The 16,496-nt window shown below is 46.6% G+C and overlaps 3 annotated features.

Moving 5' to 3' along the window:
* Positions 11,888-12,027: an enhancer, noted in NCBI's record as "active region_11180". NCBI's record gives its function as "activates an Ori minimal core promoter by ATAC-STARR-seq in GM12878 lymphoblastoid cells {active_cell/tissue: GM12878}" and the evidence as "EXISTENCE:reporter gene assay evidence [ECO:0000049][PMID:35858748]".
* Positions 11,888-12,190: a biological region, named in NCBI's record as "Sharpr-MPRA regulatory region 12949".
* Positions 11,896-12,190: an enhancer, noted in NCBI's record as "tiled region #12949; HepG2 Activating non-DNase unmatched - State 21:Repr, and K562 Activating DNase matched - State 8:EnhW". NCBI's record gives its function as "activates a minimal TATA promoter and a strong SV40 promoter by Sharpr-MPRA in HepG2 and K562 cells {active_cell/tissue: HepG2 | K562}" and the evidence as "EXISTENCE:reporter gene assay evidence [ECO:0000049][PMID:27701403]".

The following is a 16,496-nucleotide window of genomic DNA, read 5'->3' on the forward strand; positions in this document are numbered from 1 at the left end:
TGAGCCACCGCGCCCAGCCAATTTTTTTTATATTTTTAGTGGAGATGGGGTTTCACCATGTTGGCCAGGCTGGTCTCGAACTCCTAACCTCAAGTCATCCGCCTGCCTCAGCCTCCCAAAGTGCTGGGATTGCAGGTGTGAGCCATCACGCCTGGCCTCTGATAGCTTTTTGACAAGAAAGAAAAGGATAATTTCATTAGAATAGGTGTCCAAGCATACTCTTATTCAGTCAAAGAGTATGAACAATTTCACAGCATTAATACGAGTTGCCAAATTGCTTTTCCAAGGAGACAGTCAGCTCGATACTGACACAGGGTCCGCCTGGTCCTGCCTCACTCACCAGTCCTGACCAGCACTGAGCATCAGCTACTTTCATCAAAAATAACACACTGGGGGCTTCCTTGAGGTGGCGCATGGTCTTTGATTTGTCTGTCTTCCCCTCCTAGGCCACTACAAAACCCAATGGCCTGGCTTTCAACCCTTACTCAGCAAATTAGCCTCGGTCCAATCCCTTTACCTCCCTAACCTTGTTTCCTCATCTGGAAAATGCAGAGTGACCAATTGTCCCTGTTTTCTCAGCTTAAGGGGGTCCCCAGGATGTGGGACTTTCTGTGCTAAAACCAGGCAAGACCCAGGCAAATCAGAACAAGCTGGTCTTCCTAGTAAAAGGCAAATAATGCTGCCTCTGCCCAGAGACTTGCTGTGCGTGGTAAATGAGCCGACTGGATTAAAGGGCAGCTGCACAGACTCTGGGCCCCCTACTTTGTACCCACGGCTGCTAAACACAAGTGGCAAATCAGAGGCTGCCAAATGCCAGGGACCCGGATGCCCCACACATGGACACCATGTGAGCCCTTCATCACACAGCTTCCTCGTGCCTGGCATCAGGCTGGCACATGGTAGGTGCTCACTAAACAGACGCTGAGTGAATTAAAGGATGGTTCAGCTCCTGCTTGCATGTAAATTTCATCGTCCAGTTCCACTGCATCTTCTTGGCCTTGGGTGTTATTCAAAACATTGCAAATAGATGTGGGAGGCAGAGGCAGGCAGACGGCTTGAGCTTAGGAGTTCGAGACCAGTCTAGGCAATATGGTGAAACCCCATCTCTACTGAAAATACAAAAAATTAGCCAGGTCTGGTGGTGCATGCCTGTAGTCCCAGCTACTTGGGAGGCTGAGGCAGGAGAGTCGCTTGGACCTGGGAGGTGGAGGTTGCAGTGAGCTGAGATTGCGCTGCTGCACTCCAGTCTGGGCAGCAGAGTGAGACTGTCTCAAAAAAAAATAAACAGGAAAAAAAAAGAAAGAAATTACAAATAGAATAAAATGGTGCTTAAATCTCAGTTTCATTGCTAGTCTACTGCCTCATTGCTGGGCACTCACAAATGGTCTGTCTCTGAGACCATCACGGGGGATCCCCTGGCCAACCTCCTTCTGCCTGGTCTCATACCCACACCCCAGCCTCCTGGCCTCTGACGGTGACTTGCTCCATAGAGCAAGTGCAGTTTTTCCAGGGCTTGCCTCTTTCTTGGCTTTCTGAGCTGACAGCTCAGGCAGGGACCCTCAGAGCCCACTTCAGCTCCCGAGAAGCAACCCTGCCCTGGTTCTCCTGGTATACGTGGGGGTGGGGATCCTGGCCACGCTCATTGAATGATTTCCCATGAGTTTGTTTATTCTTTGCATTTCCTCATGGGCCTTCAGGGTCTGCAGGTTCCGGGATTTGCATGTCTTGTTCAGTGGAAATGCCTGGTTGTCTTGCTGTCGGCTTCTTTCTTTGGTGTGTTTTTGTTCTTTTCTATTACCATGATGCGAAAGAGGGATCTGAATTGTCTGCTTCTTTACGGAAAAAAAAAAAGTGCGGCGAGAAAATTGCTTTGTTGTGTTGTTCTTTTTGAAGTGTGTGTGTGTGTGTGTGTGTGTGTGTGTGTGTGCTTGCAAACGTGAGTAGACTGCTGCTTTCTGAAACTCACCTTATGTGTGGAAAAACACATTGTTTGGAGAGGAGAAGGCAGTGGTATGTTCCTAGAGAGGGATCTTGAATTGAGAAGCATTTCCTGGCCCAGCACAGTTGCTTATGCCTGTCATCTCAGCATTTTGGGAGACCCAGGCAGGAGGGTTGTTTGAACCCAGGAGTCTAGGTACTTGGGTCGGGGGGAGGGAGGGCGGGGGGGAGGCAGGGAAGTGGCGGGGTGGGGGTGGGGGGCGGGAAAGTGGTGGGGGAGTGTCAAGGCTGCAGTAAGCTGTGATCACATCACTACACTCCAGCCTGGGCAACAGAGCAAAACCCTGGATTCTTGGATGCAATTGTGCATGGGGCTAAGCCCTGCCCCAACTCAGTAAGCACTGAAATAGTATTTGTTAATCAAATGAATTCTATCTAATTCTTTTCAATCCTTTCCAAGAAACACAACATTATAGAATACAGCGGAAACCCCTGATTTCAAGGGGTTCTTTTACATCCAGGTTTTCTCTCTCAAGGGACGTGTCACCACTCTCCAGATAAAACCTGGTATTTCTCTTCCCGTGCATGTTTTTGTTTGTTTAAATTATTCATTTATTTATTTTTATTATACTTTACGTTCTGAGGTACCTGTGCAGAACGTGCAGGTTTGTTACATAGGTATACACGTGCCATGGTGGTTTGCTGCACGCATCAACCTGTCATCTACGTTAGGTATTTCTCCTATTGCTATCCCTCCCCTAGCCCCCGACCCCCCGATAGGCCCCGGTGTGTGATGTTCCCCTCCCTGTGTGCGTGTTTTTATATTGTTAATACTCGCTCATGTTTGCAGTAACCAGATGGAGCATTATGTAAGTGGTATCATCCTGCCTGGGTCACCCTGCCTGTTGCCTCTGTGGGTCACTTCCACTGTCCTAGGGTATTCCATGGGGTGGGTTGGACCATAATTAACGAGTCATTCATTGGGAGATGGCTGTGTTGGTTTCCCAGGGCAACCGTAACAGACTACCACACACTGGGTGGCCCGAGCAACAACGGCGTGCTGCCTTGCAGTTCCGGAGGCTGAAGACTGCAGTCAGGTGCCGGCAGCACTGCTTCTTTCTGCGGGCAGCGAGAGAGGATCTGTTTCACGCCTCCCCTGGGTTCCAGTAGGTAGCCTCAGCCATTCCCTGGCCTGGAAATGGCATCCCCCCTGAGCCTGTCAGTCGTTTCCTTCTATGCATTTCTGTCTCTGTGTCCAAAATTTCCCTTTTCATAAGGACACCAGGCATATTGAATTGGGGCCTATCCTAATGACTCAACTTGATCACCTCCAAATACCCTATTGCCTATTTTTTTTTTATTATTTTTTTTTGAGACACAGTTTCACTCTGTTGCCCAGGCTGGAGTGCGGTGGTGCCATCTCAGCTCACTGCAACTTCCGCCTCCCGGGTTCAAGCAATTCTCATACTTCAGCCTTCTGAGTAGCTGGAATTACAGGCATCCGCCACCAAGCTGGGCTAATTTTTTTTTTTTTTTTTTTTTTGAGACGGAATCTCCCTCTGTCACCCAAGCTGGAGTGCTGTGGTGGGATCTCAACTCACCGCAGCCTCCACCTCCTGGGTTCCAGCAATTCTCCTGCCTCAGCCTCCTGGGTAGCTGGGATTATAGGCACGCACCACCACACTTGGCTAATTTTTTAATTTTTTTAATAGAGGTGGGGTTTCACCACCTAGCACTGTATGTTTCTCGAACTCCTGACCTCAGGTGATCTGCCTGCCTCGGTCTCCCAAAGTGCTGGGATTACAGGCATGAGCCACTGCGTCCAGCCCCCTGTTTCCAAATAAGATCACATTCACAGATACTCTGCTTAGGATTTCCACATCTTTAGTGGGGAGGACACCATTCAACCCATAACAATGGCCACATGGATGATTTCTCATTTTTTAACGTTCAAAAACGCTTCAGTGAATATTTGAAACAGTCTCTTTGGGCACTGATTCAAGCAGCATCCGAGAGCTTGTTGCCACAGTGTGGTCCTCGGGCCGGCGGCAGCAGCAGCAGCAGCTAGGATTTTGTTAGCAAAGCACATTTCCAGGCTGCAGCTCAGACCTGCTGACACTGTTGGGCGGGGCCTGGCAATCTGTGTTTTCAGGGGTCCTCCAGGGGTTCTGATGCAAGCTCAAGTTTGAGAACCACTGCTCTAGAGTGGCTCTCAAAAGTTGTGGCAGCGGGGAGGGCACATGGGTTCATCTGGGAACTAGAGGAAACTACAATGGCCATGTCGTAGTCTGCCCCAAGATGCCCGAGCCCCTGTGAGCTTTGGGGGCCTCCCAGGTGACTCACAGCTCTAAGACAGCACTTCCCAATCTCAGCAGCACTTTAGAATCTTCTGAGAGCTTTTAAAAAATGCCAAAGCCCAGTCCCCAACCCAGGGAGTCTCATTTAATTAGCCTTTGGGAGGCCCAGGTACAGTCCTCTGTCACAGCGTGCAGTCAGGGCTGGGTGGAGGATGGTGGCTTTGTTCCTTGTGCCTCCAAGTACGTTTCTCAGACCAGCAGCAGCCCCAGGAGCTTGTGAGAAATGCCCAGTCTCAGCCCCGCCCCAGACCTTCCAGACCAGAATCTGCATTTTGTTTTATTTCTTTTTTTCCTTCCAATTTTTTTTTTTTTTTTAGAGATGGAGTCTTACCGTGTTGCCCAGGCTGGAGTGCAGTGGCACAATCTTGGCTCACTGCAACCTCCGCCTCCCAGGTTCAAGCGATTCTCCTACCTCAGCCTCCTGAATAGCTGGAACTATAGTGTGCGCCACTACACCTGGCTAATTTTTGTATTTTTTAGTAGAGACGGGGTTTCGCCGTGTTGGCCAGGCTGGTCTTGAACTCCTGACTGCAGGCAATCTGCCCGCCTCAGCCTCCCAAAGTGCTGGGATTACAGGCGTGAGCCACCACACCCGGACTTCTTTGTAACTTTTATTTTAGGTTCAAGGGGTACATGTGCAAGTTTGTTACATGGGTAAATTTTGTGTCTTGGAGGTTTGGTGTACAGATGATTTTTGTCACTCAGGTAATTAGCATAATAAGTGACAGGTAGTTTTTCAATCCTCACCCTTCTCCCACCCTCCACCCTCAAGTAGGAACTGGTGTCTGTTGTTTCCTTCCTTATGTCCATGTGTACTCAATGTTTAGCTCCCACTCATAAGAACATGCAGTATTTGGTTTTCTACTTCTGCATTACTTCGCTTAGGATAATAGCCTCCAGCTCCACCCATGTTGCTGTAAAGGACATGATTTTGTTCTTTTTTTTTTTTTTTTTTTTTTTTTTTGAGATGGAGTCTCCCTCTGTCGCCCAGGCTGGAGTGCAGTGGTGCAATCTCGGCTCACTGCAAGCTCCGCCTCCCGGGTTCACGCCGTTCTCCTGCCTCAGCCTCCCGAGTAGCTGGGACTACAGATGCCCACCACCACACCCGGCTAATTTTTTGCATTTTTAGTAGAGACAGGGTTTCACCGTGTTAGCCAGGATGGTCTCCATCTCCCGACCTCGTGATCTGCCCACCTTGGTCTCCCAAAGTGCTGGGATTACAGGTGTGAGCCACCGCGCCGGGCCTGATTTTGTTGTTTTTTATGGTGGCATAGTATTCCATGGTGCATGTGTACCACGTTTTCTTTTTTTTTCTTTTTCTTTTTCTTTTGAGACAGAGTTTCGCTCTTATTACCCAGGCTGGAGTGCAATGGCACCGTCTCGGCTCACTGCAACCTCTGCCTCCCGGGTTCAAGCAATTCTCCTGCCTCAGCCTCCCAAATAGCTGAGATTACAGGCATGTGCCACCACGCCCGGCTAATTTTGTATTTTTAGTAGAGACAGGGTTTCTCCATGTTGGTCAGGCTGGTCTCAAACTCCCGACCTCAGGTGATCTGCCCGCCTCGGCCTCCCAAAGTGTTGGGATTACAGGCATGAGTCACCGCGCCAGGCCCACATTTTCTTTATTTAGTCCACTGTTGATGGGCATCTAGGTTGATTGCATGTCTTTGCTATTGTGAATAGTGCTTTGACAGAATCTGCATTTTGACAAGACCCCCAGGTGATGTGTGTGAATATTAAAGTTTGAGAAAAGGCCTGGTGTGGTGGCTTGCACCTGTAATCCTTAGGAGGTGAGGTGGGCTGATCGCCTTGAGCTCAGGAGTTTGAGACTAGCTTGTGCAACATAGTGACACCGCATCTCTATAAAAAATACAACAATGAACTGGGCATGGTGGCTCACACCTGTGGTCCCAGCTACCTGGGGAGACTGAGGCTGGAGGATGGCTTGAGGCAGGAAGTGGAGGTTGCAGTGGGCCGAGATCGATCGCAGCACTGCGCTCCAGCCGGGGTGACAGAGTGAGACTCTGTCTCAAAGAATTAAAAAATAAGTAAATAAATAAATAAAGTTTGAGAAAAAGAATCACTAGCTAAAAGTCGAAGTTAGGTTGAGGTGGGAAGATTATTTGAGCCAAGGAATTCGAGGCTTTACAGCTCAATGACACCTGTGAATAGCCACTGCACTCCAGCCTGGCAGCCCGGGCTACACAGCAAGACCGCATCTCTTTTTAAAAAAAAAAAAAAAAAAAAAAAAAAAAAAGTGCGTGGTGGCTCACGCCTATAATCCCAGCACTTTGGGAGGCCGAGGCGGGTGGATCACCTGAGGTCAGGAGTTCAAGACCAGCCTAACCAACATGGCAAAACCCCACCTCTACTAAAAGTATAAAAATTAGCTTGGTGTGGTGGTAGGCACCTGTAAAATCCAGCTACTTGGGACACTGAGGCAGTATTACTTGAACCTGGGAGGCGGAGGTTGCAGTGAACTGAGATGGTGCCATTGCACTCCAGGCTGGGTGAAAAGAGTGAATCTCAGTCTCAAAAACAAACAAAACTAAACAAAAAGTCAAAGTTAAAATGCGGGCTCCAATTCAGGAGGTCCGCGTGGGGCCAAGATTCTGCATTTCTAAGGAGCTTGCAGTTGACGTGGATGCTACCAGTTCAGGAATCACAGTTTGAGTAACAAAGGCCTAACATTTATATGTAAGAGCTAAATTGCAGGGAAGATTATTTGAACATTGTTAACTTTACAAGGTGTGTTAGTTGACAAGAGCTGCCATAATAAAATACCACAGACTAGGTGTCTTAAACACCGGAAATTTCTTTTCTCACCGTTTTGGTCGAAGGTGTGGGCAGGGGGCTGGGCGTGGTGGCTCACACCTGTAATCTCAGCACTTTGGGAGGACGAGGCAGGTGGATCACATGAGGCTAAGGAGTTGAGACCACCCTGGCCAACATGGTGAAACCCTGTCTCTACTAAAAATACAAAAATTAGCCAGGCGTGGTGGTGCGTGCTTGAGTAGCCTGTAATCCCAGCTACTCGGGAGGCTGAGGAACAAGAACCTCTAGAACTCGGGAGGAAGAGGTTGCAGTGAGCCGAGATCACGCCACTGCACTCCAGCCTGGGCAACAGCGTGGGACTCTGTTTAAAAAAATAATAATAATAATACGATGTGGGCAGGGTTGGCTGCTCCTGAGGCCTCTCTCCCTGGCTTGCAGATGGCCCCTTCACCCTCTGTCTTCACGTGGTCTTCCCTCTGTGTGTCTGTGTCCTAATTCCTCTTCTTATTAGGACACATGTCAGGATCAGAACCCACCCATACGGCTTTATTTTACCTTAATTACTACCTCTTCAAGGCCCTATTTCCAAATATGGTCTCATTCTGAGGTGCCGAGGGATAGATCTCCACCATTTGAATTTGGGGGCCACAGTTCAGTCCATAAGACCAGGTGAAGGAAGTACTTCCACTGCTGATGTCCATCTGCCAGCGAGGCCTCTCCAGTTCTCACCGGTCTTTGGCTGTGTCAAACTTTTTATTTTCTATCAATCTGATGAAGATGCAATGGAGTATCACTGTCGTTTAATTTGTACCCCCTAATACTTTTTAGTGAGGTCGAGAATCATTTTTTGTTTTTGAGACAGGGTCTTGATCTGTCACCCAGGCTGGAGTGCAATAGCACAATCATGGCTCCCTGCAGCCTCGACCTCCCAGGCTCAAGCCATCCTCCTGTCTCCACCTTCCAAGCAGCTGGGACCACAGGCGCGCACCACCATGCCCACTTAATTTAAAAAAAAAAGTTTTTGTAGAGACAGGGTCTTGCTGTGTTGCCCAGGTTGGTCTTAAACTCCTGAGCTCAAGCAGTCCTCCTGTCTGAGCCTCCTACGTGTTGGGATTACAAGCATGATCTCACCACACCCAGACTAGATTGAAAATCTTTTCATATCTTATTGCTTCTGCTTTGGGCAATTCCCTATTCATATCTGCCCATTTTGCAGTTGGAGTTGAGAGTTGATCATGCATATCGATTTGCAGGGCTTCTTTGTAAATCCTGGTTACTAATTTGCATTGCTAGACTTTTGTGCTGGTCTAGAGCTTGTCTTTTTACTTGTTTATGGTACCCTTTGATGTTCAGGGGTTTTTTTTCTGTAATTTTAATATAGTCAAATGCTTCAAGCTTCAAGGCTCATCTTGTTTAAGAAATGCCTCCCTATACCAAGGTTATGGAAATATTGTCTTACATTTTCTACTAAATATTTTCAAGTGTTGTTTCCCACATTTTGGCCTCCATCCGCCCGGAATTCATTTGTGTGTGGCATATGAAAATAGTCTAATTTTAGTTTCCCAAGTACCGTGCCAGAGGCTGCCACCACCCCGTTTCATGCTCTGCTCTCCCCGATGGCCTGAGGCTTGTCCTCTGCCCTGCAGGCTCCAGTGTTTCCCTCCGAAGGGTGGGGCACTCATCACCAGGAAGCATCTTGCCTGCCCCAAGGGTGAGTCCAGCTGGCACCTGTAGCGGTGGCCGCATTCTTCTGGCAGGGGCTGCAGGGATGAGGACTATAGGAGAGTCCCGAGGCTGCCGGAACAAAATTCCACAAACTTTATGCCTTCAGGTAACAAAAATGTATTCTCTCACAAGTCAGGAGGCCACAAATCCGAATCAGGTTGTCAGCAGGTGGAGGGAATGTAAACTAGTATAACCATGGAAAACATAGTTATACTAAACTAATATAACCATGGAAAACAGTGTGGAGATTCCTTAAAGAACAAAAGTAAGGCCGGGCGCAGTGGCTCACGCTTGTAATCCCAGAATTTTGGGAGGCCAAGGCAGGCGGATCACCTGAGGTTGAGAGTTCGAGACCAACATGGAGAAACCGCATCTCTACTAAAACAAAAAACAAAAAAATCAGCCAACTGTGGTGGCGCAGTCCTGTAATCCCAGCTACTGGGAGGCTGAGGCAGGAGAATCACTTGAATCCAGGAGGAGGTTGCAGTGAGCTGAGATCACGCCATTGCACTCCAGCCTGGGCAACAAGAGCAAAACTCCATCTCAAAAAAAAAGAACTGAAAGTAGATCTACCATTTGATCCAGCAATTCCGCTCCTGGATATCTACCCAGAGGAAAAGAAGTCATTATACGGATGGGAGTGGTGGCTCACATCTGTAATCCCCGCACTTTGGGAGGCCAAGGCGGGTGGATCACCTGAGGTCGGGAGTTCAAGACCAACCTGACCAACATGGAGAAACCCCATCTCTACTAAAAATACAAAATTAGCTGGGCATGGTGGCACATGCCTGTAATCCCAGCTAATTGGGAGGCTGAGGCAGGAGAACCACTTGAACTCGGGAGGCAGAGGCTGCAGTGAGCTGTGATCATGCCATTGCACTCCAGCCTGGGCAACAAGAGTAAAACTCTGTCTCGAAAAACAAAAAAAAGTCATTATACAAAAAAGATACTTGCACATGCATGTTTATAACAGCACAATTTGCAGTTGCAAAAATGTGTAACCAAATGGCCATCAATCAACAAGTAGACAAGGGAACTGTGGTATATATATATATATACCACATATATATACACCATATATATATATACCACATATATATACCGTATATATATATACCACATATATATATACAGTATATATATGTGGTATATATATGTGGTATATATATGTGTGTGTGTATATATGTGTGTGTGTGTATATATATATATATATATATATATATATATATATATATGATGGAATACTACTCAGCCATAAAAAGGAATGAATTAATGGCATTCACAGCAACCTGGATGAGACTGGAGGTCATTATTCTAAGTGAAGTAACTCAAGAATTGAAACCCAAATATCATACGTTCTCACTCATAAGTGGGAGCTAAGCTATGAGGATGCAAAGGCATAAGAATGATACAGTGGGCCAGGCACGGTGGCTCACGCCTATAATCCCAGCACTTTGGGAGGCCGAGGCAGGTGCATCACGAGGTCAGGAGATCGAGACCATCCTGGCTAACAGGGTGAAACCCCAACTCTACTAAAAATACAAAAAAATTAGCCGGGCATGGTGGCGGGCACCTGTAGTCCCAGCTACTCGGGAGGCTGAGGCAGGAGAATTGCTTGAACTCAGGAGGCGGAGCTTGCAGTGAGCCGAGATCACACCACTGCACTCCAGCCTGGGCGACAGAGCGAGACTCCGCCTCAAGAAAGAAAAAGAGAACGATACAGTGGACTTTGGGGACCACAAATTGGGTTCATTGTACACTGCTCCAGTGATGGGTGCACCAAATCTCACAAATTACCGCTAAAGAACTTACTAATGAAACCAAGTACCACCTGTTCCCCAAAAATCTATGGAAATAAAAAATTAAAAATAAATAAATAAATATTAGTTAAAAAATGCTTGTATAGAAAAAATACACATAAAGTCACTATAGCACAGCTTTAAATGGAAAAAACCCTGATGTGATTATTACACATTTTATGCTTGTATCAAAATATCTCATATAACCCATAAATATATATGCCTAATATGTATCCAAAAAAATGAAAACTAAACATTTAAAAAAATTTTTAAAAAGAATAAACAAAGTTGTCAGCAGGGTTGGTTTCTTCTGGAGGCACTGAGGGAGAAACCACTCGACGCCTCTCTCCCAGCTTCCGGGGGCCTTGGATTCCTTGGTTGTGGACACATCACTCCTGGCTCTGCCTCTGTCTTCCTTTGCCTTCTTCCCTGGGCCTCGGTCTTGTTTCCCCTGCTCTTCTAATAACTTGTCATCAGATTTAGAGTCCATCCAAAGATGATTTATCTTGAGGTCCTTCACTTAATTCCATTTGCTCAGACCCTTTTTCCAAATAAGGCCACATTCACAGATTCTGAGTGGGCATATCTTTTGAGGGGGAAACCAACATTCAGCCCACTGTAGGATCTGTTTGTGAAATGGGAAGGAAAGCTCCTAGTGACGATGGTGGGAAAGCGCTCCTTCAACAACCATGTTCCCTTGACACCGTGCACTTCCTTCCAGCTCCTTTATTGGATAAATTTTGCCCAATCTGCCATTTTTTAAAATTTCCTCCTGCTCCCACAAGTGCAGTGATGCGTTCTCCCACTCTTAGAAATTTATCTTAAGAAAATGATTCATGAGTATAGGGGAAAAAAATTACCTCTTTTTGTTGTTGCATTGTTACTTATATTAAAAAGTTGGAAACAACCCCCAGGAGAGGAGGTAATTACTTAATTACTTCAATAACATTTATTCATGCAACATTAGTGAGAGAATGTGAAATAAACGGGGAAGGAGAGAGTAGAGAGCAAGAGACAGAAGTTGCCGAGCACGGTGGCTTACATCTATAATCCCAACTCTTTGGGAGGCCAAGGTGGGAAGATTCCTTGAGGCCAGGAGTTCAAGACCAGCCTGGGCAACATAGGGAGACCCTGTCTCTACAAAAAAATTTTACAAATTATCTGGGCATCGTGGCACACACCTATAATCCCAGCTACTTGGGAGGCTGAGGTGGGAGGATTGCTTGAGCCTGGTAAGTTGAGGCTGCAATGAGCCATGATCACACCACCACTGCACTCCAGCCCAGGTGACAAAGTGAAAAAAAAAAAAAAAAGGGACAGAAGCTGTTGTCCTCCCTGGAAAGGGAACATTCAACACGTGATGGCCCAAACCATTGAGTAATGTCAAACAGGAAGTGGGCAGGAAGGGGAATCCCAGGTGTTACCCAGAAGTCTCAGCTAGTCCTTGGAGTCATGAAGGATGAGTTGAGTCCCTGAAGCAGGACTCACCACCAGGGACAGACAGGAAGGAGGTTCCTAGAGGAGGGGCAGCTTCCACAAAGACTACAGGAATCATTCAACCTCCTGAGACCCATGTGTGGTCATCAAAATGACAAAAAACATGGCAACAGAAAAGCTATGGTTAGGCAAAAAATACGGAATAAAAATTAACTCAGGCTGGGTGAGGTGGTTCATGCCTGTAATCCCAGCATTTTGGGAGACTGAAGCAGGAAGATCACTTGAGCCCAGGAGTTTGAGACCAGCTTAGGCAACAACCTCACCTCTACAAAAAATAAAAATAAAACTAGCCGGGTGTGATGGTACACACCTGTACTCCCAGGCACTTGAGGGTCTGAAATGGGAGGATCACTTGAGCCTGGGAGGTCGACGCTGTAGTGAGCCATGGTTGTGCCACTGTACTTCAGCTTGGGTGACAAAATGAGAATCTGTCTCAAAAAAAAAATTAATTAAAAGAAGTGCCTAGAAAAACAGAAGTGCCACATGACCCAGCAATCCCCTTCTGGGTATATAACAACAAGAATTGCAAACAGAGACTCCAAGACATATTTGTACCCCCATGTTCATGGCAGCAGCATTCGCAATAAGCCAAAAGGTGGAAACAACCCAACTGTCCATTGATGGACAAATGGATAAACAAATTCTGGTCTATCCATACAATGGGATATTCTTCAGCCATAAAAAGGAGGGAAATTCAGACTCATGCTACATCATAAGTGAACCATGAGGACATTGTACTAAGGGAAATACTCCAGTCGCAAAAAGCTATGTACTGTATGATTCCACTGACATGAGGTAGGCAGTGTAATCAAATTCATGGAGGCTGGGTGCGGTGGCTCACATCCATAATCCCAGCCCTTTAGGAGGCCAAGGTGGGCAGATCATGAGATCAGGAGATCGAGACCATCCTAACATGATGAAACCCCGTCTCTACTAAAAATAAAAAAATTATAGCCAGGCGCAGTGGCTCACACCTATAATCCCAGCACTTTGGGAGGCCGAGGAAGGCGGATCATGAGGTAAGGAGATCGAGACCATCCTGGCTAACACGGTGAAACCACATCTCTACTAAAAAAAAAAAAAAAAACACAAAAAAAATTAGCCAGGCGTGGTGACACGCGCCTGTAGTCCCAGCTACTCAGGAGGCTGAGGCAAGAGAATCGCTTGAACCCAGGAGGCAGAGGTTGCAGTGAGCTGAGATCGCGCCACTGCACTCCAGCCTGGGCAATAGAGCGAGACTCCATCTCAAAAAATAATTAGCCAGGCGTGGTGTAATCCCAGGGCACCTGTAATCCCAGCTACTCAGGAGGCCGAAGCAGGAGAATTGCTTGAACCCGGGAGGCAGAGGTTGCAGTGAGCCGAGATTGTGTCACTGCACTCCAGCCCAGGTGACAGAGCAAGACTGTCTCTTATTTAAAAAAAAAAAAAAAAAAAAAATTCATGGAGACAGAAAGTAGAATGGTGATTGCCAGGGGCTACAGGATGGGCGAATGGGAACTTACTGTTTCACGGGCATGGAATTTCAGTTTTGCAAGATGAGAAAAGTTCTGGAGATGGAAGGTACTTACGGTTGCATGACAGTGTGAATGTATCTAATGCCACTGAACCGTACACCTAAAATGCTCAAGATGGTAAATTTTCTTATGTGTGTTTTACCACAGTTCTTTAGAAAGGACTCCTAGTATGCTATTAGATTGGAGGAAGGACGTTCAAATCCCAGCTAGAGCTCTTTTTTAGTGCCTTTGTTCATTCAAATAATCTTTTTTTTTTTTTTTTTTGAGATGGAGTCTCGCTCTGTCGCCCAGGCTGGAGTGCAGTGGTGCGATCTCAGCTCACTGCAAACACCGCCTCCCCGGTTCACGCTATTCTCCTGCCTCAGCCTCCCGAGTAGCTGGGACTACAGGCGCCTGCCACCACGCCCGGCTAATTTTTGTATTTTTAGTAGAGACGGGGTTTCACCGTGTTAGCCAGGATGGTCTCCATCTCCTGATCTCGTGATCCGCCCGCCTCAGCCTCCCAAAGTGCTGGGATTACAGGCGTGAGCCACCGCATCCGGCCAGGAATATTTATTAATCCTGTTCAGGCTCCAGGACAACAGGCCCAAGAAAGCAGACAAGATGGCCGCCTTCCTGAAGGTTACAGTCAAGAGGAGAAGCAGGTGTTTAATAAAGTCAAGTCCCATCACCAACCCTTGACTCTACATCAATTATTAGCGCTGTGACCTTGGGCAAGGCAGTTCTCCTTCCTGAGTTTGCTTCCTTCTCTGTAAAAATGGAGACCATGGTGCTCACCTGCCAGAGTTGCCGGAGGATTAATGAGGCTCTTCTAAGTGGTGCAGTGAGAGTGCTTAGCTCAGAACAGGCGCTCCGTATGTGTTACTTCCTTTTCGTAGCTCTACATCAGAAATTTATGCTCAAGGACACACTAGCGTCATTGGTGGTGCACAAGGGTAGACTCATGCAGTATGTACATTTTCTAGCCATTTAAAGTCCTTTTATATGCATAGATCTAGAAGGATCTCCATCAAGATGTTAAGAGGAGGTGATGGGATGACAGGCAGGAATTTTTTTTTTTTTTAATCTACATTCAGGGATGTGGTGACAGAGGGAATCTTGGGTAAATTACTCGACACCTCTAGACCTCATTTCAGTGTCCTCGGCTGCAAAATAATAGCGCCTACCTCATAGTTTTTTTTTGTTTTGTTTTGTTTTGTTTTGTTTTGTTTTTTGAGAGAGGGTCTCATTCTGTCACTGGAGCATAGTGGCATGATCACAGCTTGATTACAACTCGCTGCAGCCTCTATCTTCCAGGCTCAAGTGATCCCCCCACCTCGGCCCCTCAAGCAGCTGGGGTTCCAGGCACACGCCACCATGCCCCGCTAATTTTTGTGTTTTTTGTAGAGAGAGGGTTTCGCCATGTTGCCCAGGTTTTAATTTTTTATTATCAGAATTTTCAGCTGTTGACAAAAGAAGAAGGAATAGTTAATGAACCTCCATTATCCAGCACCCATCTTCAACAATTATCAGTGAATTGCCAATCTTGTTTCATCTCTACCTCCCCAGCCTCATCCCTACTGGTTATTTTCAAGCAAATCCCAAGCCTGGAGACTCTGTTAAAAATTAAAAAATTTCTATGATATCATTAATACACGTACGTATAATTTTTCTAAGCAATTTCCTAATAACATCTAATATCTAATCACTGTTCATTCATCCTCCATTATCCCATAAATGTCTTTTTACATGTGATTTGTTTCAATCAAGATCCACAAAGCCCTCACATTATGTTCGGCTGATAGATCCTCCTCCAAACCCCAGCATTTTATTAGGTCAATTTTCAATCTACAGCAAACGGGAATGAATTCTACAGCGAGCACCTGAATAAGCCCCTAGACGCAGCTATTAACCCATTACTGCAGCTGTTCTGTCCTCCATCCATCTGCCTGTTTCTCTACAGTCCATAATCCTTTTAAGTCTCTTTTCATCCAAAATACTATCCCCCTTTCACATTTTTTTCTTGCCATTTATTTGTTGAAGACACTATGTCATTGCCCTATAGAATTTCTCTTATTTTGAGGACCAAATAAGCTAAGTACATAGTGTTTAGACTATAGTATGTACCTAATTAATATTCTTGAACTGATTATTATTGGCTTTTTAATTTATCTGTATCTTCTTATTTTTCCAAGTAAAAAAGTCTCTCTTTTTTCTCGTTGAGATGGAGTCTTGCTCTGTTGCCCAGGCTGGAGTGCAGTTGCACCATCTCGGCTCACTGCAATCTCTGACTCCTGGGTTCAAGCAATTCCCCTGCCTCAGCCTCCTGAGTAGCTGGGATTACAGGCGCCCACCACCATGCCTGGATAATTTTTGTATTTTCAGTAGAGACAGGGTTTCTCCATGTTGTCCATGCTGGTCTTGAACTCTTGACCTCAAGTGATCCGCCTGCCTCGGCTCCCCAAAGTGCTGGGGTTACAGGCGTGAGAGCCTGGCCAAAAATATATCATTTTTGAAAAAAAAAATTTTTTTAAAGAGTTCCTAGACTTGTTATGGCCACATTGTTTTGTGGCCACCAGGGGGTTTGTCTGCACTCTTTGCTGGGCTTGCCCCAGGCAATTGGCCAATGGGAAGATTTGCCAGCATCGGGCAGCTGAAGGTGGTGGAGCAAGGGGGAAGGGAGTGCGAACCTGAGCCAGAGGGGCTCCAGGGAAATGGCTGCAGTGGAACCAGGGCAAGGGACAAGGCTCAGAGCCTTCTCTAGGGCTGAGGATGGTGACACCAGGAGGGAGGCCCAGAGAAAGCACCAGGAAAGGTGTGGAAAGTTGCAGAACTCCCAAGAGCTGGTGGAAGCAACAGCACACATCATCAGGGAGCAAGGCAGAGTGCGCAGCAGGGTTTCAAGGGGCTGG

Source organism: Homo sapiens, chromosome 16, assembly GCF_000001405.40.
Source record: "Homo sapiens chromosome 16, GRCh38.p14 Primary Assembly".
Classification (NCBI taxonomy): Eukaryota; Metazoa; Chordata; class Mammalia; order Primates; family Hominidae; genus Homo; species Homo sapiens.